This window comes from Homo sapiens, chromosome 9 (assembly GCF_000001405.40).
Source record: "Homo sapiens chromosome 9, GRCh38.p14 Primary Assembly".
NCBI classification, from domain to species: Eukaryota; Metazoa; Chordata; class Mammalia; order Primates; family Hominidae; genus Homo; species Homo sapiens.
In genome coordinates this window covers 23645828-23672761 of record NC_000009.12, presented here as the reverse complement: position 1 = coordinate 23672761, position 26934 = coordinate 23645828, and the positions used below count along the sequence as shown (strand labels likewise).

The following is a 26934-nucleotide window of genomic DNA, read 5'->3' as shown; positions in this document are numbered from 1 at the left end:
CTGAAATGCACAAACATGCTACAGTCTTTTGACCGTATCTCTTCTCTTTTGATGACCAGCATGCTCTAGGTTCTCTCCTGCTGGCACGTGGACCAGGAGAAGTTAGCAGATACGGTCTTCTTTCTCTGGACGGTTCACCTTTGGCTCAGTGCCCTACAGCTTGTATACAGGAAAGAGAAGTAAGAAGTAGTTATTTAAGAGAACTTCCCCACTGTCTGTGCTGTGACCTCCTTCTCTGACAGCCAACTTTTTAAACAAGCATCTTAATATTTCAGCAGATGGTGCTAAGGTTTGCTGAAACAGCCTACAGTATTCCCAGTTTGTTCCCACATTTCTGGATTCTTTGTAATTAGCTCGCAACATGCGTGAAAGTGAGCTCAGATGTAACCTAAACCCATGGAACTTGGAAAAAGAAGCATCTGCCGAGAGGAGCGGGGTTGATCTTGATTTGCTTTCAGGGAGTTGCCACGGAGGTGAGCTTTATGAGATTATCAGTGGCTGGAAGTCATCGCAGCTGTGTTGTGTTGTCTGTCCTGGGTGCCCATTTGCTTCTAGTTACAAATCAAGTATTGGTTTTCATTTATAGAGACCTATGTCAATTTTGTTCCCACCCTGGTTATCATGAAGTCAACTCTGGTTTTCCTGGTTTATTATTTGCCATGGTCTCTGTTCCTACAACTTGTGCCTGTGTCTGGGGACCTCACGTAGAAGGTGTTACAATTTTAGAAAAATACTGAGTTAAATTTTGTAAACCAATAGTATATTCTTAAGAAAACCTTGTAAGGCTGAATTTAAGCCAAGTACTTCACCGTGTTAGGATCAGTGATATTATTTTCCTAATGTTTCAGCTACTTATACTTTCTTTGTCTAAGAAACATTTATTTTACAACCCACGGAGCAATGCTGGGGATGTAACTATTTCTTGATTGATTCCTGTGGCACAGCATCGTCTGCAGAGACCTGCATTATGTGAAGCAGCATCTTCTTTCCCCTTGATGTTGAAACTGGATGAAGGATCTTGTCAGGCTCACAGGTAACGCTACACAGGGTTTTGGGACCAAAAGCACTAAGAATTTTCCTTTTTCTCCAAGTATATGACTCAGAAGAAAATCAAGAAAGATATTTTTCCCTTGTGACTTCTTCTGTGCTCCACCTTTGTTTCTGCTTCTAACAGCAACTATTCTTTTAGCAGGAACTTTGCTCAGTAATGATTGTTAGGTACCTATTAAGGACTTACTATGTTGTGACTCAGGCACTATTAAATGACTTATATGCATTTTTCATTCAATCCTCACAATAACAGCACCAGTAACTACGTTATTATTTTGTTTTATAGATGAGGACTCTGAGATTATCCAGGTAGTAAGTGGTAGTTCCGTATGTTCTCTATACAACTACTCAACTCTTTCACTTACACCCAAGTCCATCATACTTCAAAAGCCTGTTGGCTAAGATTGAATGATCAGAATCTGTTAGCAGTTGCTTTTCTTAATGCCTCTACTTCTAGTTGCCTAACTTTCCCCTTATGTCTGATCTTAATATTGTCTCTTTCCTACCTGGAGCTGAACAGAACCAACCCTCTACGGCGAGCTTGTCCAACCTGTGGGGCCGCTTGCAGCCCAGGATGGCTTTGAATGCAGCCCAACACAAATCCATAAACATTCTTAAAACGTGAGATTTTTTTTTTTTTTTTGCGCGATTTTTTTTTTTTAAGCTCATTAGCTATCATTAGTGTTAGTATATTTTATTGTAACGCAAGACAATTCTTCTTCTTCCAGTGTGGCCCAGGGAAGCCAAAATACTGGACACTCCTGCTATACTAGCAATCTTGTCCAACCCGCCTTATTTTGTTTTTGTTGTTGTTTCTGTTTTGTTTTGTTTTGCTTTGTTTTGTTTTAGGCTTTTAGCAGCCTGAAGCCATGTCATACCTAGATAAAAATCATATTTATATGGTGTCTTCCTGAAGTATATGCACACTTTAAATGTCTCTCTGCCAACTAATTATAAAAGGGAAAAGGAGTTTAAGACATTCCTTCTATTTTTATATAGTTTTTCTATTATGTCTCTAGTGATAAGCGGAAAAGAGGGATGAGGAAGAGGCTTTATTGGCTCAACCAGAAACAGAAACCAAGAACCCACGGCTGTATTCCTCTCCCTTGGACACCCCCGGCAGAGCGTTAGGAATGAAATGGGGGGAAATGCGTTAAGATCAGAGTCCTAATTAACTTTGCAAATTTATGGTTTGTTCCGCGGGGAAATATTCTTTAGAATAACAAGGTCTGAATATCAAAGATGAGTTAAGGTGGTTAATGAGAAGGAGAAACATTGTTATATCTAGAGGAGAGCTACTCTTGTTAGCAGTTCAGAAAGTATTGTTCTTCCTGCTTTCTGTACATAGCAGAATATCAGGGTATTATCTTTTTCATCTAAGGGAAAATTTACTGCCAAGGGAAATTGAAGAAATTCTCTGAAAAGGAGTCCCTGAATGAGTAGTCAGCTATCCTTGTCTTCATCCTTATAATCATCTTCTGTCATAATTATTTGAGACTTCTTGTCTAAAGGGCTTTACTTAACATTTTGATAGAGAGCAAATACCTGAGGTTCTAGCCTTGGAGCTTAGGATTCCCCTCCTGAATGTTCAGCAAACCCGAATAGCAAAGGTACTCCTAAGGAATCCTCTTTGGCCAGATGGATCAGGGATACATTTCCAAAATTAGTGCTGCACAGAGAATTCTCTCTCATGGACTAATTCTTCTCCCCCTCTCTGAGGACCATCTGTCTCATGGGCAGAAGAAAAATAGGCATCTGTTCAGATTTGCAGGGTTGCCACCTGGACCTGTTCCTATAGTGTTTCCAAGCAGAGGGTTGGGATGTCTGTGGGCCAACCCAAGGCCTTAAGTACTAGGATCTTCAGTGAGGAATTACAGCATCAAGACAAAATAATTTTGACCTAGAACCAGGTTTTGCAGAGCAAGAATTAGTGAATGCTCCACCATTCTAGACCAGGGATTGGCAAAATTTTTCTGTAAAGAGCCAGGTAATATTTTAAGCTTTGCGGACCATATGATCTCTATACAACTACCCAGCTCTTCCACTGTAGCACAAAAGCAGCAGTAGATAATATTTAAATGAGTTATTGTGGCTGTGTTCCAGTAAAACTTTATTTACAAAAAAAGTGGCTGGCAGGAATTGGCCTGCAGGCCGTAGTTTGCTGACCCTTTCTCTGGATTACAAGAACTCAATCTGTATAGGAGATTTTCCCATCCAAGGATTTGGATTCATGCGATGCAGTTGACAAGGCTGCTGTTGTGAAGTCTGCACCCTTTGGTTTTGTAAGTTTGGTTTAAGATAGTTTAGCCCTGCACCTACACAGTGTTCAGTCTCTATTCGCAGTTGTAGTGATTTAGCAGTAACGTTATCAACGCAAGATGACACCAAAAGATCTCATGCTGATGCTGGACTCCCAGTGGAACACCAGGTACCTTGGAACATCCATCGGAACACATCCCCTTAGATAATGCTGCTTTTAAATCGAGTGTGACTAGATCAGTTCTTAGACATTGTTGGGTGTACTGAATAAAGTTAATCATGCTGAATAGACTGTTCCTTTACTTCTAGATTCTGCCCCTATGTGGGTTGGAGTTCTTCAGCATGAAACTAATAGCTTCCTTCTCATGATGCTGTGGGTGGTTCAGCATATCACAATCACAGTGATGGATTTAGGCCCAGTAACTTTGTTCCCTTCCTCGTTTGGCTCTGAAAAAAATACATTGAGGGGGAAAAAGCTGCAGATGTGAGCCACCAAAATAAACACACTTGTGACAGAACTTATGCTTCCTGTTTCTTGGTTGAGTTTGAATTCTTTACATCCAGACTGATGGTTAACTGTCTAGGCAAGTGAATTAGAAATTGTTTGCAAGCTAGAATGTGAATACCAGTTAAGTGTTTCTGCATTATTTTGCATCATTTCCCCTCTCTCTATTCTCCCTTGGGAGGGTGCTAATTGTGCCCACCTGAAAGTTCTGCTTTTATCTGCCCAGTTTAAAGAGGCGCATGCCTTGTTTGATATGTCTAGTATTTGCCTTTGGATTTGTGTTCAGGAATATGTGGCAGGGAGAGGCACTAACCTCTTTACCAGGTGATTGGAGGGCAATATTAACATTATAAATGTTTTATCAGTTAATTTTCTTTGATTGGATGAGTCAACAACTGGGTGACTAGTTGCGTCCCCACTTAAACCTCTCATTGTTGGAGATATGTGGAAGCATCAAACACACTCGAGAGCTTGTCTTCACTGGGAGAATTTAGTCTCAAACAACAGAGAAGACTGAATGAATAACAGAGAATGTGAGGAAATGCAGTGACATAGAGGGATGAATACTGACTTATTTTCTCCCATATTAGTCCAGTGGACTGTGTGCTTCTCGGTACCAACTGAGGTTAATGAAATTTATGTAATAGTCTCATGAAAATGGTCCATGGAGCAGTCGCTCGTCGTACTTATTTGTATATTAAGTTGACTCACTTATTGCACTCTCATACTGATGGATGTTTATTAAGCCCTCGAAGGGGCCAATATCTAAGGTGTAGGTATCTCTAAGAAGAGGAAATAAATGGAAGAGAGGGGAAAAAATTATGTGAAGATACAGTTTTCATCTTTAGTATTTTTCTTCAGAATTTGAAGAAGAGTTGTGAAAAATGAGTAATATATGAGTGAATTCAGTAGTATTGGCCTGTTATGGAAAATAGTTCATTTTTTCATGTGTGAGATTGCAGGATTTAATGACGCTCAGTAGCTCAGTAGCTGCTTAAGATAATAAGTGAGAAAGACAAGTAGAAAAGCATTTGCAATACTGAATGGTGAGTATGAGTAGATCAGGGTGTGTAGAAAGCAAAGGAGCTCACCTTAGATGTGAGGAGAGACAAGACATATCTTCCTGACAGACGTAACGTATCAACTGATACTCAGAGATAAGGGGGAATTAGCTGGGCACATGTGAAGAGCAAGGAGAGGCATGCCATGTGCAGAGGTGGTCCTGTGTAAAGGCTCAGAGGTAAGAAAGAATATATGAGAGTTAAGAACTTTCCAGTAGTTCTTTTAACTAGAGTTAGGGACAAGGCAGGGAATAGTGAGAGGCAAGGCTCACAGATATGAATAGGAGCCAGAACTTGGTAGAGAAGGCGTGGGACCAAGTTAGAGGTGCATGAATGTTCAATGTCAGGGCAGGTTTGCAGATGAGGAGTAGTGACTTAGTTTGAGCTGTATTTGAAGGAAAACTCGAGAGATGGAAGAGGACTAGGATATTAAGTGACTTTGGAGTAAGCCAAGTAAGAGGAAAGGAAAATGCCTATGGAACTGGAATGAAGAGACTTGCAAGAAAATGCAAGTATAGATGTTGATGGAGTTTGTCAGTGATGTCGAAAAGGTTTAATACAATTCCAAAGAATTCTTGCTTGCAAAACTAGCTCAATCTCGTCTTTCTAGTTTTACCTTACACGGTTCCTTTCACATGCTTAACCTCAGCCAACCTAGGCAGTTTGCGTGTCATAAATGTGAGCTTCATTTTCCACCCCGTTACATTTTTTTCTTCATCATAAATGTCCTTTTTGCACTTAGGAATCCCTGATGAATCTGGAAGGGAGAGTAGGATTTTAATGAGAAAAGGGAACCTTTTTCTCTCCGCCAAGCTTTACTTCAAATACCACCTTCTGAATCCTTCCCTGTTGGTCTAAAATCTGTTGTAGTGCCTGTATCATGGTTAGTGGGTCACACTTCTGACACGTTGACCACATATGTCTTGATTATTTGTGCCTGTTTTTCTCATTATACCTAGTAGTTTCTCAATAAAAGCATGCACAGATGTTTATTAGAATTAAACCACCCAGGATTAAATCTGTCCTGTTTACTTCTTGGCACTGTTACCTGGAACAACTTAATTTACATCTTTGAGCCTCAACTTGCTCATTTGTAAAATGAACATGATAAAACCTACCTTAGAAATTTGTTGTGAAGGGGTAGATAATGATGCATATCCAGTACTTAGTGTCATGTTTGGCACATGACAGATGCCATTATTGAGAGTTATTATAATAGCAATGTGTGGATATTGGGTTACAAGGAGCCCTTCCCATAAGAATTTCTCATAAATCACAAAGGACACCTATACTAATGGATGTCCCAGAGTGTATGGATGAGGGGACATGGAAATGATACATTCTAATGATTTTTCTCTACTTCTGGAGGTGCTGGCAGATACCTAAATCATATCAACAAGAAGTTTATGGAAAAGAGAACTACAATCATCATAAACCCAATCATGTTTTACTTGGTGTTGAAGGACATTAAAAAATACCTCCCACCTTAATTTACTAAATTATCAAACAAATCCTGTTCCCCGATCTCAGAAGACCACCTGGCTCAGTATCACAAAGCACCCTGATTTCTCCCTCATCTTGAGATGTCAGGATCCCTCAGAAAACTTCGTAGAGGTGCCCTAGTAAGTAATATGCCTCCAAAAGGAGCAAGTCTGATAGTGAATGAATTCATGTGTATTTGCTTCACTTAAAGACTGTTTAGCTCTACTTATTTCTCACATTTATGCTGAATCTTTAAAAAAAAAAAAAAAAAAAAAAAGACGAGGTCTTGCTCTGTCATCCAAGCTGGGGTGCTGGGTTGCAGTGGCATGATCATAGCTCATTGCAGCCTTGAACTCCTGGGTGCTCAAGCAATCCTCCTACCTCGGCTTCCCAAAGCACTGGGATTACAGGCACGAGCCACCATGCCCCTCCCTGTTTCTTAAAGGTTTATGATTTTATTTTACTTCTTGTTATTTAGTGGAGATTAATTGTATGCATTCTATAAACTCTTATTCAGATTTCACCTTTGTATTTCACTCAAAAAAGTGGACTTTGCCCTACTTGGATAAACAATAAACTAGCCAACTTACAGCTTACAAAGCTCCTTTTATCTTCTGCCCCACAAGTAGGTAGGGAAAATTCATGTATGAACTGGGTCTCTAGTCCTGATTTTTCTCATCTTCCCCATGGATACTTTTATGTGGCTCATAGTCTGTAGATACTTTTCACATCATGGAAATTTAGCATCTCACACAATCATCTTGAAGTGAAATCTGTTTGTGTTTTTAATCCACACAGGCAGTTTCCCATTATAATGAAGCTTTCACAGTTGAGTACCACTGATCTCTTGTGTTCTTGAAAGTGATTGGTGATCAAAATCACCCTTTTTGCAAGCAGCTACCTACTATTACTCTCCACAGAGAATAATGAATCACTACACACAGAAATATTAAGATACCACTTAGAGTATTAGAATTTTAACCACTTCATGTGGCTGAGGCACAGGGGCCTTTTCAGCCCCAACGCTAGTTTTCTCAAAATTGGTCCTGCGGCCCAGCTTTGCTCTTATGCTCTCCTGGGCCCAGGCTGCCTCCTGCAGTGTGGTGTGAAACTTAACTGTAATTTGTTGTGACTGATCCCTAATGCAAGTGTTAACAGTGGCTACTTGCCATGAGTAGGAGAGTGAGAGTAAGTGTTGTTTATCCAGACAAGAAGTGATACCAAAATGAGACTGGAGGTGTGATTCTAATTTGCACCTCCGTTTCATTTGCCCAGAGGAACTACATTTTTTTGTCATTATTTCTGAATATATATAGTGACAGGGGAAGGCTTACCAAATGCACTGCTAACAGATGTGGCAATCACACTTCTGTGTATCCCCTCTTTTTGTTCACTCATGCTTTGGTTAAATCACCTTGTGTTTTGAAGAAAAAGGCCCTTACCAGAATTGCCTGAAATATCATCCAGGTAGGAAACATAGTAATTATGCCAAAAAGCATTGTGAAACATGCTCATTGTGCTTTACTATGTTGTAATATACATAGAAGCATATAAAATACATGGCATTATATAAAATATCCATATGATAGGTGGAATAGTGTGTGTATGAGTGTCAGAGAGAGGTAGGAAAGACAGTAAAATATTTCAGACACTTTTAAGTGGCCTATTCCGAAGATTCAAAAAGCTCTGTGGAAGACTAGCCCTACAAACTGTTGCACTTTATAAGAAAAATTCAATAAGAAATTATTTTAAATTCATAATACATGTCAGAGTATTAAAAGCTCAGAAATGTGGAAAAGTAACCCATTTAACTTTTATTTAACTCTACACCGTGTACTTATTTGGTCATAGAATTTTTTTTTTTTTTTTTTTTTTTTTTTTTTTACTATCCACATGATGAATTCACTTTGGAAAATGACCACCTTTTCTGATTGTTAAGATAGACATTTCTTGCTACATCAGTCAGCTGTTGTGATCCTCTATTTTTGAACAGACTGACAGTATATTCAGTGCCTAAACAAGGTGCAGCAGCTTTTCAGTAAGAATATTCATGACGTTGTCATTATTTTTTATTGCTACAATTGACTCTAAACAGCTCTATCCTAAAGAAAACCAAAGTGTCAGTTCAGGAAATAAAGTATAGTTGGAATCAAGCTGAGACCATTGTATTTTTCACTCATGCAATTGAGGAGAGAGTGGGAAGTCCTGCTAGAAACCTAATCTTAGCAGCTGTGGGAGTCTTCACTAGTCAAATGCTGAGGAATGCATTTACCCTGTAGTCTTACTTATTAGAAAGCCATGTTGGAGGTTTTCAGGCAAATTGAGACATTTCTTCATTTCTAGCACTTACCACATATTGTGGAAATAAAGCTTTAGGAGATGCACAATTAATGCCCTCCTTCCCTTTGTGACTTTTTAGCAATATCTTACAAATATGTACTTTGAATCAAATAAAGAAGTATTATATAAAAACTGCAATACCAGCTGAACTACATTGCCTGGTAAAAATGCAGGGCTGGAAAATGTATTTCTAATGAATCAAAAGCAGCTGTGGCTTCACTGGCCAGCATTTGATCACTTTAGAGCGTGACTCATGTAATTGGTTTTCTTGCTGTCATATGACAGACATATCAACCCAACATTATATTAGAAAGCTGAAAAATAAACAGCCTAGATAGGGATGTCTGGAGCTAGGAAAGAAGAATGCCTGCAGTTTAGCACTGGTTGCTCTTTTAAAGTTTGTTCCGCAAGGTGTGGCCTTGTGAAGAGAATTATAGTCAACGGGAAAGTGCGCAGATGTCAGTCATTGTTAAATCAAGGATCTTTTACGAGAGATGTTGGCGAGATTTCACCACTGATAGTCCTGTTCACCTGTGTGAACAGAAAGTTGGGCAGGTATAAAACAACTGCTTTGTTTTTCCAAAACTTGGCCCATTACAGCATGAAATTCACATTGGCGAAGTGAAAAGGATTAAGCCTTTTTCAGTAGAGCAGGTATGAGGGGACTTTTTACTTGGTAAGAAAAACTGTTGTACAGGAAATGAACATAGTTCACACTCCAGTCACATTTTATGCAGTCAGGAACTGGGTGAGCAGAGTATCATCCCAGGCATATACAGTCTGAAGATCTTTTAAGGTTCTACATAGTTTCCTGTGATACAGCAGATATAGTCAAGAAAGATTTCCCAGGACCCAGTTCCCTGGCTTGCTGGCAGGTTTCAGATAACTGTGATTGGCCTCATTTGGGGACTTTGAGGTATATAGAGACAAATTCACGTAACTAGTGCTGACAGGTTATTTTATCTTCAATTAGGTGGTGGCATGCACCAAGATCAGATTGTTCTACCTGAGTTAAAGATGTTCCTCCTGTTGCCTTTTGTGAAGCAGGAGAGAATCAGAGCACCAGTGGAACAACAGCAGTGAGAAGCTCATCAGCTTCACGAACTGACCACAGACCAATCAGTGAATTCCTGTCCTGCTTTCACTTTGCTTTCCGTGCTATGTGGAAATAAGAGCTCTCCTCATGGGTCCAGTGTGAGGAACAGATAGCAAGCACTGATTGGGTGGAACCAGCCAAAGGTAGCTATGAATAATAGTACAAAAATAATTTTTATTAGGGAAAGGTGAAGCCGATTAGCCCTCAAATCCTCCATTTCTAAGCATAGACTCTTGTTAAAGGTTGTACCCATTAATGTTTATCCCCACCACTGATCCACCATTGTTACCCAGGGTTATTCTGATTTAGGTGCCGCAGAGGAACTGGAATGGATAAGTCAGTTCATTGAGCAAACCCATGAGACTTATCATAGTACCCAGAGCTTCAAGCTGCATGTAGCCTGGTGTTGGTGGTGGGGAAAAGTCCCTGCTGTGCGTCACATGAGGTGGTGACTTAACTGTTAACCTGAATCACCAGTGTGAATACCCAGTTAAGTAGTAAGGCACAGCCCCTGTGAGAGTAAGTCCTCATTTCAGTGATGAGTCCAGAGAGTAAGAATAGCATAAAGATGGCAGAGGACTTCACAGTGGTATAGGGGAGCAAGCATCACTTTACTGGGGGAGGGTACAGGGGGGTCTTTATCATCACCAGCATCATCTTGTTCATGCAAAGGTCATTATCTGATAAAGTGGATGGAAGTTCCAAAGAAGAGGACAGGGACTGTAAACTCTGGGCTATTCTTTATTCTGCAACATTGATTAAAAGTTGCTGTGACAGGCTCTGCCCTAGGGCTCCAGGATACAGTGAATAACACAGATGTGGTGCCTACCCTCATGAAGGTTACCTTCCATTCAGGGAAGACAGGCATGAGTAAGTAATAAAAATAATTATAGATTTGATAAGGGTTTTGAAGGGAACAAAAATAAGAGGCTGAGGTAGAGAATCATTGGTGAAGGGTGAGAGGAAGCCATTTTTCAAAGAATATTAGGGCAGGAGATATTGAAATTGAGACTTGAATGAGAAGGTAACAACATAGTAATAAACATTTGTGAAAAAGGAAACATACAAAGGCCCTAATGTGTTTGAAGAAGTTTGAGAAAAATGATGTGACAGTTCATGGTTGTGTTAGGGTTACACAGAGAAATAGAACCAATAGGAGATACATATCTATCTAGATATATACCATATATATAAAACATTTTTGTGTTTTTATGTATAAAGGACTTTATTATAAGGAATTGGTTCACACGATTATGGAGGTGGGCAAATCTCAAGATCTGCAAGGTGAGTCTGCAAGCTCCAGACCCCGGACAGCCAATGGTGTATTAATAATATGAGTCCAAAGGCTTGAGAAGCATGAGAGCTTGAGACCCAGAAGGAGCCAATGTTCATGTCTGAAGGGAGGAAAAAGTCAATGTCGTAGTTCAAAGGCAGTCAGGCAGGCGGAGTCAGGCAGAAGGAGTTTTCTCCTGTTGACTAGAGGGCCAACCTTTGTGTTCTATTCAGGGCTTCAACTGATGGGCTCATCCACATTAGGGAGTGTGTATTGGTTAGTTTTATGTGTCAGTTGGGCTAATGTAAGAGATGCCCAGATACCTAGTTAAACATTATTTCTGGGTGTATCTGTGAGGCTGTTTCTGGAAGAGATTGTCATTGTAATTGGACTGAGAGCAAATTACCCTCCCCATTGTAGGGTGGGTATCATCCAACCCACTGATGGCCTGACTGGAACAAAATGGCACAAGAACATTAATCTGACTGCTTGAGTGGAGACATTAGTCTTCTTTCCTTGTACTGGGACTTACAGCATTAGCACCCCTGGGTTTCAGGCCTTCAGATTGTCATTTGCACCACTTGTGGGACTTGTTAGCCTCTGTAATCATGTGAGCCCATTCCTTATCTCATTACAGACATACACATATTTTATATGTATAATCTCCATCTTACTGGTTCTCTTTCTCTGGAAAGCCCTGACTAACACAGAGGGCAATCTGCTTTACTCAGTCTGCTGATTCAAATGTTAGTCTCATCCAGAAACACCCTCATAGACACATTCAGAATAATGTTTTACCAAATATCTGGGCATCTCTTAAGGCAGTCAAGTTGACACATACAGTGAACCATCACATAGAGTCAAAGACAAGGAGAGGATTACAAAGTTAGAGAGGCAGGGCCTTGCAAGGCTTGGCACAGATTATAGAGTTGATTCTGATTATATTTGGGGGGTGGGCTGTTGACTATTGAAGGAGTTTAAGGAGTGATGATTTCTCTTCAAAGCCCTTCACTCTGGTGGGTGGTGACTGCTTTGAAGGTAAGATTATTGTCCAGATGAGGTGGAGGCCATGGGAGAGATGATGGGAGCAGAGACAAAGGAAATGGAGACAGTGGACCCCATTGGAGGAATATTTTGGAGGATTGGATTTGGGAAGGGAAAGGGATAAATTGAGTATAACCGAGCTTGTGAAGAAAGACTCTGCACTTTGCATTTTCTGTGGTAAGATGCAGAATATGAGTTGTCTCATCCTCTCAGTCAGGAGTCATCAAACTACAGACTCCTGTTTTTATATGGCCTTCGAGCTAAGAATTATCTTTATGTTTTTAAATGGTTGAGAAAAATCAAGAGTATTTTTTGACCTGCAAAAATTACATGAAATTCAAATTTCAGTGTCCATAAATACTTTTATGGGAACACAGCCATGCTCATTCATTTATGTATTTTCTATAACTGCTTTTGCCCTAGAACAGCAGAGTGGAGTAGTTGTGACAGAGACCATATGGCCCACAAAACCTAAAATATTTATCATCTGGTCCTTTACAGAGAAAGTTTGCTGACCTCTGTGCTAGTTTATTTAGCACTCTATGGAAAAACATGCTAGTGTTTACATGTCCAGCACATCTAACCCTTAGATACCTCTTGGCAAGGATGCTGTCCCACGTGTGAATTTATCTGTCTTTTCTCTGTAGAGCGAAGAAAGCCAACTTATTAAACGAGCACTTTGTTTGCCAGCCTTAGAGCCTTGACCTTGCCAGCAGCCAATTAAGGCGTTTTCTAAAATTGCAGATAGTGTAGAGGTGATCGGCAATGATCATGAACAAAGCCTCCTATTATGCTAGGGTTTCCACAGGTTTCCTCTGTCTTGGAAGGTACCACCTGGGCCCTGTTGGAGGGAAAACAAGTTTGAGGGCTTGTGTACCCTGAGAGTAGAGGGGCAGAGTATGAGAAGGAAGTAAGGAAAGCAGTGCTGGCAGTAGCTCATACCTCACCTTTTTTTTTTTATTTAAATTCTCCAGGGATTGTCTCCTGGCTTGATTCAGCTCTTCAGGCCCTGGAGATGAAGTTCTGTGTCAGGCACCAAGCATCTGTATGCGGTAGGCAGCTGGAGGTCACTCTCTTGATCACCTCTTGTGTGGACAAGTTTTCTTACAAGCAGAAGCCCATCCCCAGGCATCCTCTAGTGCTGACTGACGAGATAGGAGCAAAACTCATGCAACCTGCCTTTCAGATGCAAATAGAACATTCCTAAGTCCTTTGAGGCACTCTGCCAATGTGGTAAATATTCTCTAATAGGTATAAATTTGATACTCAATTTTTTGTTCATTTGGGGAAAAATTCTGAACATTTATTGTTGGATACAATTTCCCAAAACATACTGTAGGGGTTTCACTTTGTTAGGATGTATTTACACAAACGTGAAAATGACCTCATGATTTAAGATCACAGAAGCATAGAATGGCTTTTAGACAGGGCTTCTCAGCCTAACTCCCTTATTTTTAGTAAGGATTTCAGGAGTCGAGAGATTCTGCAAAAAGGCACCCTGGTTAGTGAGAAAGTCAGGGCAAGATACTGCTGTCTGTGGCCATCATCGTGCTCCACGCTGCCCCGGCGCTCTCCACACCCTCTTCTGAGAGGTGCCTTTCTGGGCTCCATGCATCTGCAAGCTCTGCTGATTCACTTTTAGTGACATGAGAGTGTGAGAGTCCTGCTGTCAGAGAAATGCCATTATAGCTTTTGATAGCTGAGATAGTGTAAGTAGGACCCAGGCTTTCACTTTTGAAGCCAGAAATGGGAGGTTTCCCAGTGCAGCTCTTGACGTTGGCGCATGCAAAGATTCTCTCTTGGGCTCAGTGAAATTTCTAGAGCAGTGTCACATCTTCAGTAAAGAGTATTTAATGTTCCTTTTTTGTCTCTGTTTACTTTCTGTTTCCATCTTCTTGACCTGAGATTCCATTTTGCCTTTGCTTATACCTCATGGAGGAATCTGAAAATAATACCGAGCAGGAAGCGTTCTTAAAAAATGGAAAAAAAAAAATCTGCTGTTCCAGCATTATTTTTTCATACTATGCTAATCATTTTTGAATACATTGTACAGATGGTAGGTTGTATTTTAGCGGAGGGTTTTTTTTTCAAGCCAAGTTCATAGACATGATCTTGAATTTGTAATGCTGTATTCCTAAGTGTCTTTTTTGGCTGTCAAAATAGTGCTGTCTTTAAAAAGTACAATGTAGCTACTCTGGGTAAGGCTGATTATTTCTGCTTTCTTTCTTTATAAAAATAAGTATTTTCTCTTATTACCAAAGTAACATTTACTAGAGAATATTGGGGGAATAAAAGCAAAAAGAGGGACAGTAAATTGGTTTAAGTACCACCCTCAATATCAGCTACACCCTTTTCTTATCCCCAATCCTCTCTTTGCTTTGGTCATACAATGAGCACTGTGATACAAATTCATTCAGTTTCATCTTGACTGTCTTTCACTGAGCCCAAGAGAGAATCTTTGCATGCGCCAACGTTAAGAGCTGCACTGGGAAACCTCCCATTTCTGGCTTCAAAAGTGGCTTCAGAAGTGAAAGCCTGGGTCCTACTTACACTATCTCAGCTATCAAAAGCTATAATGGCATCAGATACACAGGGGATAACAATACCTAGCTTGGAGGACGAATTAATAGAGGGCTTAACTGTGTGATTTTCATGAGAGACTGAAAGATCATGGGTTTTTGGGACATAGTGACCTGGGTTTTAATTCTAGAATTAAAATTCTATGTTCCATGTTACTTGCTTGCATTTTAACTATAAATTAGGATAATGGTTATTTGGGGAAGTATAATGTAAAAAGCCTCAGGTAATGCCTGGCCAGGGAGTCATATCCGTTGACATGGTAGCTGGCAGTGTTGGCCCTCACGTCCTGAGCACCTACCGTGTACAGGCTTGGCTATGGCAGACTTTATTGTAAAGGGCCACATAGTCAATATTTTAGGCTTTGTGGAGTTAAGGGGCAGAATCAAGGGTATGAAGTAGGTACTTATACGCCCATTTAAAACGTAACCATTTAAGAATGTAAACAGAAAACTTCCTTAGGTCACAGGCCATACAAGACATGCAGTGGGCCAGATTGGGCTGACTCCTGTTGTAGGGTGTCTTGACATTTACTTATAATTTTCACAACCCTAAGAAATAGTCACACTTTTTTTTTTTTTTTTTGAAGCAGGTTCTCACTCTGTTGCCCGCCCAGGCTGGGGTGCAGTGGCACAATCTTGGCTCACTGCAACCCCCGCCTCCTGGGGATTCAAGGGATTCTCCTGCCTCAGCCTCCCAAGTAGCTGGGACTACAGGCATGCGCCACCACACCCAGCTAATTTTTGTATTTTTAATAGAGACAGGGTTTCACCGTGTTGGCCAGGCTGGTCTCGAACTCCTTGCCTCAAGTGATCCACCTGCCTTGGCCTCACAAAGTGCTGGGATTACAGATGTGAGCCACTGTGCCTGGCCTTGTCACGCTTCTTATAAATGGCAAATCCCAGATTCAAACTGAGGCAGCCAGAGCCAGGAGCCGCCTCAGTTGGAACCACTGCACTCTCCTGCTGAAGGTCTGTTTTACAACTAACCGCTAGGACCCTGTTTCCCTCGTCCTGCACCTTCAGCTTTCCCCTTCTTTGCTGCCCCCACCCCCTCAACCCTGCCCTTAGGCTGGAGCTTGTGGAGCTCTCACTCCTCAGGGCCTTTTCCTGTGCCGATCTGTCTTTGTAGAATACCGTTCTCCTGGTTGCTTGGCTAACTCCTTCTTCAGGTCTCAGTCCAAATCTTAACGTCATTTGGAGAGTCCTTCCTAACATATTTGTCCTTGGGCCCTAGGTGTTCTGTCACATCATCCTTTATTCTCCAGATGCTTTGCCTGCTTCCCTCCCTGGCAGCATTTATCAGGTTCTGCAACTGTATTGTGCTTTCTCTTTGTTTATGTGTTTGTCTGCTTCTGCCCAGTGGAATATAAACTCCTCAAGGGTAGGATCAGGGCTTTGTCCTTTTCATTGATACATTCCTAGGTCCAGAACAGCGTCTGGAACATAGTAAGTGCTTAGTAAATATTTGACAAACGCCTTAATTTGCTTGCCAACTGTCGTTGTTTTTCAGAAATCAGCTTAAATTTTTCAGCGTTGGCTTTCCTGATCCCAAATCCAGGTAGATTTATTATAGTACCCCCATTATTTTCCTTGGTACCTATAAAAGCCACCTAAAATTTGGTAAACTCAGCACCTGAGAAGCAAGTCAGCACCGCTTGCATGGAGGGGGAGATACGAGGCGTGAATCTTAGTAACCTATAGCAGCCAACATTCCTGCGTGAGGCAAAATCTCATCTACAGCAAGAGATGAGAAGTCACGCAGGGAGAAACATGCCTGGCAAAGTCATTACCTGACTCCAGATGTGGTAGGAGCTGAGGGTCCTGCTTCTCAAACCTTCATGTGCTCAAGGGATACCTGGGATCTTATGCACATTCTGATTTAAATTATCTGGGGTAGGGCCACAATTCTGAATTTTTGATCTACTTTAAGATGCTGCTAAAAGCTGCTGTTTCGACAGACCACACTTATAGTAACACTCAGATCAAGGTTTCTCAACCTCGGCAATGTTGACATTTTGAGCCAAACTATTCTTTGTTGTCAGGGGTTGTCATGGGCATTGTAGGGTATCTAACACTATACCTGGCCTTTACCACTAGACGCCACTAGCTCTCCCCCAGTAGTGACAACCAGAATTGTCTTCAGACATTACCAAGTATCCCCTGCGGGGCAAAAATCATCTTAACTTGAGAACCACTGGCCTAGATGCTTCTCTGTTCCCAGTTTGCTATAACACTTGCTTGGAATCTCTGAGCCAATGAGTTTCCCTTTTGCCTGAGCTAGTTTAGTTAGATTGTTACGAGCTTGTAGTTGAATCCTGCAGCTTACATACTTGACAGTATATAGTTATTTGTGTGCTTTTATATATATTGACCGTCTACTCTGCCGAGCTCTGTAACTGTACGCTTTATGTATCTTCATTTCAGTACTTAGTGTGGAGTCCAGTCTGTGAGAGGTAGTTGATACATGCTGCCTATTGAAATTCTATAAGGGATGAGGTAATACATGCTTTTTAAAAAAATGTTATTGAAGCACAGTATACATATATACCCCAAAAACCCAGAAAAGTGCACATAAGTGTATATAGCTTGATGAGTTTTCACACTGGAAATTCCCATGTCCCGGGCCTCCAGATCAGGAACAGAGTAAGACCAGCATCCCAGAAGCTTTCCTCCATTAACTCACTCTGTAATTTTTTAAATTTCTTACAGATACAAGAATATTGACATTGGTGGACAGATAGGGCCTTTAAAATAAAGGTAGTAGAAGCGTGTTCTAAAACTTTAAGTTTCTCAAAGACAACAAAAGGTTTTATTGAATGACTAAATCCATACTCTCTAGGTCAGGAGGCAGCAACCCTTTTCTGTCTAAAGAGCCAGATTGTAAATTCCTTGGGCTTTGCAAGCCATTGGCCTCTGTTGTAACTACTCAGCTCTCTTATAGTGCTGAAACAGACAGATAATACATAAACAAGTGGGTGTGGCAGTGCTCCAGAAAAACTTCATTTACAATTAGCAGCCAGATTTGGACTGACACCCTGGTTTGCCAATGCCTACTCTATTATTGTTGAAAATGTGGCCTGTGTATTGAAATGTGAATATTCACAATAATTGCACAGTTCAGAGTATGGGATGTGGTATTAACTTTTAGCTGTTTTTCACAAAGGATCTGGTGGGGTACACCATTCCCTTCAGGCCAGTCTACTTGCCCCTTTGATGTTCTGCTGATTGTCCCGTGTGTCCTGAACTATTTTGTTCCTCCCCTCAAGTCTGTCCTGGAATCTGTTACCTTCTTTGCATGGGTTTCTCAGTCTCTTCTAATGAAAGTGGCCAAAATTTTCTTCAAGTACAGAGTCTGTTTAGTTGCTCACTAGTGATTTGCATCCAGTTTTCTTCACAAATGCATGCACCTCATCACTGATTGTCAGCAAATTGCTGTCTTGGTGTTGTATCGCAGCTCTGCCTGCCCTCTGCTCTGATTTCCTGTCCATGCTTCAGCCTCCCTACAGTAGTGTGAGAAGTTATATTCTACTCTCTCAGGTAGTAAGAGTCCCTGCCTAAATGAAGTTCAAACTAAAAGCTGTTGCCTGGATGCAGATGCCCTTTAACTTCTAAATAATTACTATCTAAAAGCCCTATCTTTATCTTCCAAAGCCCAAGGTTTTACTTCTTATTTCTTAAAACTACCATGTCTAATGTTACATGGCTACACTTATAGGAGCATTGCTGATGCTTATTTGTTCTGTTCTTGATGAAGGATTTGGAGATCAAAAGTGACATTCCTTCATTAAAGTAATTGAAATTATTTCCAGATCAGGATGTCATGGCTGAGATAGGCTAAGTTATAGTAACAAACAAACAAAAACCCAAACCTCATTGGCTTAAAATGGCATTCATCCGATTCATTAGAGATGAAAGTGAGCTATTTAGATTGTTACTCTGTTTTCTAGTAAGTTATATATAATTCGTTCCATATTTATGATATTAAGTCATCAGTACTTTGTCATTTTGCAAAGCCAGGTTTTCTGAAAGTCTACCAGAAAAAAATACCATGCCTCCTATGCCCAAAGTACCCTGCCTTGCTGTGTCTTCACTCTGGGATGCATCCAGGCTGACAGAGCAGCCTCGACTTCTAGGTGCTTCTTTTCTCTCCAGATAGATATATTTAATGAGTTACCATGTACCTTTCTATGGTGAGTGTTTTTTCCCCTTTCTTATTAACAGTCAGTCACTACCTGACTTTAAGACTTATTGTAAAACTGCAGTAATTAAGACAGCATGGTATTGGTGAAAGAACAGACAAATAGAGTAGTGGAGCAGAATAGAGACACTAGAGACCCACACAAATATTGTCAACTGATCTTTGACAAAAGAGCAAAGGCAATTTATTGGAGAAGGGACAGTCTTGCTAACAGATGGTTCTGGAACAACTGAATATTTTTGCAAAATAGTGACTCTAGATACAGACCTTATACCTTTCACAAAAATTAGCTCAAAGTAGATTATAGCCCTAAATGTAAAACCTAAACTTATAAAGCCCCTAGAAGATAACCTAGGATAAAATATAGGCAATCCTGGGTTTGGTGATGACTTTTTAGATACAACAACAAAAAGCATGATCCATGGGAAAAAGAAGTTGATAAACTGGATATTATTAAAATTTAAAACTTTTGTTCTGCAAAAGACGCCGTTAGAGAATGAGAAGAAAAGCCACAGACTTGGAGAAAATCTTTACAAAACCCCATTATCTGATAAAGGGCTATTAAGCAAAATGTATTTAAAAACCTGTTAAAATTCAACAATAAGAAAACCCAATTAAAATGGGCAAAAGATCTGAATACCAAATGATATATGCAAATGAAAATAATTATATGAAAAGATGCTTGAGATATGTTAGGGAACTGTAAATTAAAACAACAGTGAAATACCACTAGACATCTATTAGAATGACTAAAATTCACACGCTCATCATACCAAATGCGGGTGAGAATGTAAAGCAATGGAAACTCTCATTCATTGCTGGTAGGAACGTAAAATGCTACAGCCACTTTGGAAGACAGTTCGGCGGTTTCTTTAGAAAGCTAAACATGCAACCCAGCAATCAAGCTTTTAGTTATTTACCAAAATGAAAACTTACATCCACGCAAAAACCTGCATGTGAATGTTATAGCAGCTTTATTCATCATCGGCCAAAATTGGAAGCAATCACGATGTCCTTTAATAGTTGAATGGGGACACTATGGTACATCCATGCAATAGAGTACTCTTCGTGGTAAGAAACGAGCCATCCAGTCATGAGAAGACATGGAACTGGCATACTACTAAGTGAAAGAAACCATTGTGAAAAGGCTATATGCTATATGATTCCATCTATATGACATTCTGGAAACGGCAAAACTATATAGAGACAATAAAAACATCAGTGATTTCCAGAGTGGCAGGGGGTGAGAGGAACAGAGAGATGAATTGGTAGTCAAGGGATTTTTAGGGTGGTGGAACTGTTCTGTATGACATTAAAGGTAGCTACATGACATTATGCATTTGTCAAAACCCGTAGCATGTGCAACACAGTTAATCCTAATGTAAACAATGGACTTAAGTTAATCATATATCCATAGTCGTACACGAATTTTCAAAATATACCACATTAATGCAAGAGGTTAATAGTAGGGAAAACTGCATATATCAGGGTGGGAAGGAGGAGTATATATACTTTCTACACATTTTCGCTGTAAACCTAAAACTGCTCTAAAAAAGTCTTAATTTTTTAAAAACCTGGATACTTACCTTTTCTATACAGCTTTATCAAAATAAGGTTTTGAGGGATTTTCACATGATTTTGACTATCAAAATAAGGTTTTGAGAGCTTTTCCTATGGGAAAATTGCCACATCTTTAGTCACTAGCCAGTGTGACAACTGTCTTCACCTGTCAGAGACCTTTTCACTTTTTGGATGGTTCTCCTGCGTATCGTTGCTTGACAGCTAAGCTCTGGATAGATGCGATATTAACTCTGTATTTGTTGTCCTTTCTGTTCGTTTTTTCTTCTCTCCTTCAATATGAATTTAAAAAGAGACATGAGATAGAAATACTCTGTGATTAATGTCTAATAGGGATGTATAAAAAGTGATGAAGTGTCTAGATTTGTAAAGGAGTAATTTGCCTAACTGAATATGTCGTTTTTGGAAACGATTACCCTGGGTATATTTTAGAAGGTGGGTTAAAAGTCATCTGTACAAAACCTTGGATTTGAGATGTAATAATCCAGTAACTTGTAAACTTAATCTACCTATTACTGGTTCTTTGCCTTCCTTAACTACCACATCCCTTAAGGGGAAAAGTGTATTCTCTACCTGGTACGTGGATGTTTTTCTCAAATCACAGTTTTAACTCTGTCTGTGCCTACCAGACTGTGATTTTCCATTCAGGAAATGCCTTCGGAATAAAGTCCAGTCTCCCCAGCAAAGGTACTAACATTGTTGGGCAGTGGTATTAACATTATTGGGCAGTGGTACTAGTGTGTGAAGGGTGTTGCTGAGAGTACCAAGCCTGCAGTTACGGCTCCCCTGCCTGTACATGGAGCCCCGTCCCTTACTTCTTGCCACCACTGCATCCCCACAGGGCCCACAATCATCGGACACCTTGCGGCTTTTGCGTGAGCTTATTCCTGTGTTTGGAAACGCCCCTGCCTTGTCTGTACTTCAAGAATCAACTTAAGCTAGCTTCATTCTCCCATTTCCACAAAAACTTCCAGAACTCTGTACACATTTCATTCGTAGGACTCAGGACTGTGCATCATTGGATTTTTGTCTAGTTACATTGTTTCCTTTACTTGCTGAATTTTCAGGGTGAGTCACTTGTTTGTTTTCTGTCATGTTTTGAGTACCCAATGTGTTTTTGTTTTAACTGAATCAATACATAAGTTAACAAATAAAGCAAAACCAATGTATAGTAAAGCTAATGCTAGCTACTGCAAGAAATCAGTGCCAATCAAATATATTTATTCCTCCAGGCTCCTTCCATTTTGTGGCTCTGCCGGTCTTCTTGAACACATGGCTCCTGAGGCTGGGGTAGAGAAAGGTAAGGAATGTGGAGAATTGTTTCTTTGGGGGCATATGGGCCAGACCAGGAAACAATGCACATTATTATACTTGCATTTGATTGGCCACAGTCTTAGTTCAACGCTAACTGTAAGTGAGGCTGGGAAATCTAGTCTAGCTGTGCACCCATGAATAAGACAAAACGGGTTTTGAACAGCTAGCAAGTCTCTGCCACAACCTTTATTTGAAATTAATCGACATTGAGATTTGAATTCCCATTACTTTACACTGAGATAGTAATATACTTTTTAATTTAATTTTTTTTTTTGTTAGATGTGTGCTCTTGCTCTGTCACCCAGGCTGGAGTGCAGTGGCACGATCATACTGCAGCCTTGACCTCCTGGGCTTAAGCAGTCCCCCTGCCTCAGCCTCCCAAGTAGTTGGGACCACAAGTACATGCCACCATGCCTGGCTAATTTTTAAATTTTTTATAGAAACGGGGTCTCCCCGGTGGCTCACGCCTGTAATCCCAGCACTTTGGGAGGCCGAGGTGGGCGGATCACGAGGTCAGGAGATCGAGACCATCCTGGCTAACACAGTGAAACCCCGTCTCTACTAAAAATACAAAAAAAATTAGCCAGGTGTGGTGGCAGACGCCTGTAGTCCCAGCTGCTGGGGAGGCTGAGGCAGGAGAATGGCGTGAACCCGGGAGGTGGAGCTTGCAGTGAGCCGAGATTGCCCCACTGCACTCCAATGCAACTCCAGCCTGGGCAACAGAGCGAGACTCCCTCTCAAAAAAAGCAGCAGGGTCTCCCTGTGTTGTCCAGGCTGGTCTCAAACTCCTGGGTTCAAGTGATGTAAGCCACTTTTATGTAGAGCGTGGTATAGAGTGAGGTATTAGGAAAGGGAATTAAGTCCCTCTTGAAGAAACGTGAGTTATTTAGATTGTTACTCTGTTTTCTAGTAAGTTATATATAATTCGTTCCATATTTATGATATTAAGCCATCAATACTTTGTCATTTTGCTACGCCAGGTTTTCTGGAAGACTACCAGAAAAAAATACCATGCCTCCTATGCCCAAGGTATTCTTTGGCATAGAACTACTAATTTTATCACTATATGACAATAACACTGCCTCGTTGAATTAAATGATGCATGTGTTACATTATTTTTGGAGGATTAAGGAGTTCTATAAGTGTGTTTCTCAGTGGCACTAGTGTTTGAAGGAAATGGTTTTTTAGATTTCAACATTGTAAGAGAATTAGAATTCAATCAGTATGATAAATCATTGAACTTGCTGTTGAAGGACCTAAATTTAAATTAAACCTTTAAATGCAATAACTTCTTTTCAATTCTGGTACTACTTGGAGATCATGGAGCTCTTAAGTGGAATGAATTTGATTCACAAGTACAGCAATTGTTCCTTCAATTGCCGATGTTTCCCACAGTATATGTTTTATTCTTTCAAAGTTTAATCAATAAGCTTAGTGAGTTGCCTCTTTCTCACCTGTTTCTTATATACAACGTTCTCTAGTTTCTAGATTTGTGGGGCTTTTTGTTTGACATCAGGATTGTAGGTGTGGACATAATTGTGTCAGATGCATATTTTATTAATTTCCTAGCAAGAGAGATGATTTTAAACATCAAGCTAAGAATCTCAGGAAATGATGTGTTTAATAATAAACGGACATTATCCCAGGTATTCACGTGACCAGATTCACGTCTGTCAGATTTAGTTAACACACTTCAACAGTGCGACTAAAAGGAACTGCACCCAGAGCTTGCAAGCCAGTGCCCTGCTCATCCCTGCACCAGGGTGGAGGAATAGTCACCAAAGGTGGGGATTGTCTTCAAGATCCAATCAGCCAGAAGGTCTGTCTCCCCAGCCTTGCAGAAGTCAAGACCACTTGCCTACTTGCGACTGGGGTATTGCATTGGTTTTCTATGGCTTCTGTAACAAATTACCACAAACTTGGTGGCTTAAAACAACTGAAATTAATTCCCTCACAGTTCTGGAGGCCAGAATTGTGAAGTGGTTCCACTGGGCTAAAATCAGTGCTTTCACAGAACCACACCTCCCCCTGGAAGCCATTCTTCTCACAGTCTCTAAGGGAGAATCTGTTCCTTCCCTCTTCCAGCTTCTGGTGGCTGCCCAAGTTCTTGGCTTGTGGCTGCATCACTCCAGTCTCTGTGACCACAGGCCTTCTCTTGTGTCACCACGTTGCCTTCTGCTTCCCTATTATAAGAACACACCTGACTATATCTAGAGTTCACCCAGATAATCCAAGATAATCTCCCCATCTCATGATCCTTAATCGTATCTTCAGAATCCTTTTTAACATATAAGGTAAGATTCACTGACTCCAGAAATTAAGACATGGATATCGTGTGTGTGTGTGTGTGTGTGTGTGTGTGTGTGTGTGTGTGTGTGTTTTGGGGCCAGGGATGGGGAGGGGGGGTTGTTGTAATTGTTATCCAGCCTACCACAGATATTAGAAACTGTTCCATAAATGACTGTTCTGAAAGTAAATTATTGGCTATAATGCTAATGGTTTTCTTTTTTTTCCTCATCCAAGTTCTAGTTAGGTGAAAACATAGCTCTCTAGTAGTTTGCTGCACATTTCCTGTGAAAGTGAAGATTCTCCTTTCTTAATGAAGAGCAGCTCATATATGATGACAAAACAGAGGCAAGGTTAGCACTTTTGGGACATGTTTCATATTTTAGTTTTAATTTCTGATCTAGGTTTTCTGTATTCTCTGGTTGGTTATGACGATAAAAATCATGGCATTGTAACTATTTATGTTATGAAATATCCCCTAAGAAAATATATTAGACTACCTTTTAAAATGATACTTATATTTATTTTCTGATTAGAAAAGTTATAGCTCATTTCAGGGAATTTACAAAATGCAGAACAGCGTGAAGAAGAAAGAACTCATAATCTTAACCTAGAAAGGACTAGTGTTGATATTTTGGGTTCTTTTATCATACGACATTTGTTGTCTCCCTAGAGTGTTAAGCTATTGTTATACCATTTGTCCAGACGGATTTGAAACACCATCATCATTATTATAGGGAAACAAGTTTTTTCAAATGCAGTAAAACTGAAGAAGCAGAGTCGTTGTTAAGGCTTAGACTCTACTTTCTTCCTCGGTTGAAGACATAGCCTTACTGACCTGAATTTACAAACAGAGCGTAATATTTACAGATGCTTCTTTTAATGGAAGTCCATCAACTGTTAGTGTAAATTCTTCCTGAATACATCTTTAAGCTATTTTCTTGCATGTTTGAATAGAACTTAAATATTGAGAGATGTACTGAACAGGGAACAAAAGTTGATGAACAAATAAGTTTGGGAAATAGTGAATACACACAGTCACACACACATTTTAATAAAAGTCGCAGCACGTATCAGCGTATTAAAATATCAGAGACTTTCCAAAATAATGGAGCTTCTTAAATCTAGAGTTCCCCCCAGCTGATTGATTTTTTTTTCCTAATCCCTATAACAAGAAACTGTGGAACAAAATTTGTGAAGTAAAATAATAATTTAGATAAGGGTTATCCAAATGTTTTTGGTAAGAAAAGAGTTTGGTTGGTCAAAAAAGGATGTGTGTGTGTGGATGGATGAGTAAATAGAGGTGTGTGTGGATGTATGTCTCTATATAAATATTTTTATTGCCACCCTTGCCAAAATAAGTTTTTAAACAGTGGCTTATTTGAATCTGGTATCATGAAAACCTTATTAAAGATATCTTACATTCTAACACATTAGATGGCTTTTCTCTGCCCTTGGGAGAATTTGGAATTAAAATCTAGGAATAGTATCAAGCAGAGTGAAAGTTCAAGGGAAGAGTGAAAGAGATTTGTATTTTTTTTTTTTAAATGTGTGAAAGCCTCCCGACCTCTCCCACCAAGTGTCATTATGGCCTGAAGCTGAATTACTTCTCATCTGATTAAATCAGAACCAGATTCTGATACTTCCTAACTGCTGTGAAGTGCAGATTTTTAAAATGTGTTAAAAAAAAAAAAAAAAAGCAAGAATGTAATCCTAGTAGGAAACAACTCTCTTAGATAAATTAGCATTTTTAATATCATTTTACAACTTTGCAACATACAAAATTATTCACCCCCTTTATGTAACATGTAATTATTAACCGCCTGGTCAGAATATGAGCATTAATTTTGAAATTGAGGTTTCTACGTTTCTATCCATGAAGGTTTGAGAAATCGTAGGCATAGGTGGAAAACCATACTAACCTTGTTTTAGTGTCGGTGGTCTGTCGAATCTGAGATTTGGTGACTTCAGTAATGTCATTAAACTTTTGGTTTTTATACTTACGGAATAGAAAAGGGGCTCAGTTGATAGAAACAAGGGGGTAATCCAGAAATTGGGTAATCGAATTTAGGAAGCAGCCACAGGTATGCATTTTAACATTCTCTTTTCAAGAATATTCTCTCAAATATTTGGGGAGTGAAAAGTGTGGTTTCTCTGATGGGTTAAAAATGTAAAAGCCTGAGGCCGGGCGTGGTGGCTCACACCTGTAATCCCAGTCACCCCTGTAATCCCAGCACTTTGGGAGGCCAAGGCGGGTGGATTACCTGAGGTCAGGAGTTCCGGACCAGCTTGGCCAACACGGTGAAACCCCATCTCTACTAAAAAATACAAAAATTAGCCCGCGTTCTAGTGAGCCGAGATCACGTCATTGCACTCCAGCCTGGGCGACAAGAGTGAAACTGTCTCCAAAAAAAAAAAGTAATAGCCTGAAAAGAGGAGTAGAAGAGGCCATTATAATTTAAAAGCCCATTGCTACTAGATGATTTTACTTGGCTTGGCTTATGTATCTTCATCGCTGTCCTGTAGGGCAGTGGCTTTCAGGAATACCAGGACTTCAGCAGCACCTGATGTGGTGTTCAATTTTGGGTGTCAATTGGACTGGGCCATTATGCCCACTTGTTTACTCAAACACCAGTCTAGATGTTGCTATGGAGTTATTTTTTAGATGTCATTGATATTTAAATCAGTAGACTTCGAGTAAAGCAGATTACTCTCCATAATTCTGGTGGGCCTGATCCAATCAGCTGAAAGCCTTAGGAGAAAAGATTGAGAAACCCAGAAGAGAGGAATTCCGTTCCAGTTTACCTTCAGACTGAAGACTGGAACAGTGACTCCTACTGGAATTCCACCCTACTGGCCTGCCCTGCAA

At 40.2% G+C, this 26934-nt stretch overlaps 1 long non-coding RNA gene across 1 annotated transcript in view; it reads left to right on the top strand.

The window, feature by feature from the left end:
- Window positions 1-362: 362 nt before the first annotated feature.
- LOC101929563 (uncharacterized) overlaps window positions 363-26934 on the top strand; it is a 171709-nt gene continuing 145137 nt past the window's right edge. Inside the window, exons 1-9 of the long non-coding RNA NR_121602.1 lie at window positions 363-473; window positions 945-1033; window positions 6254-6497; window positions 9745-9936; window positions 13085-13343; window positions 21698-21765; window positions 23426-23563; window positions 23865-24073; window positions 24303-24418. This is a non-coding gene — a long non-coding RNA (uncharacterized LOC101929563). The remainder of the gene's footprint in view (window positions 474-944; window positions 1034-6253; window positions 6498-9744; window positions 9937-13084; window positions 13344-21697; window positions 21766-23425; window positions 23564-23864; window positions 24074-24302; window positions 24419-26934) is intronic.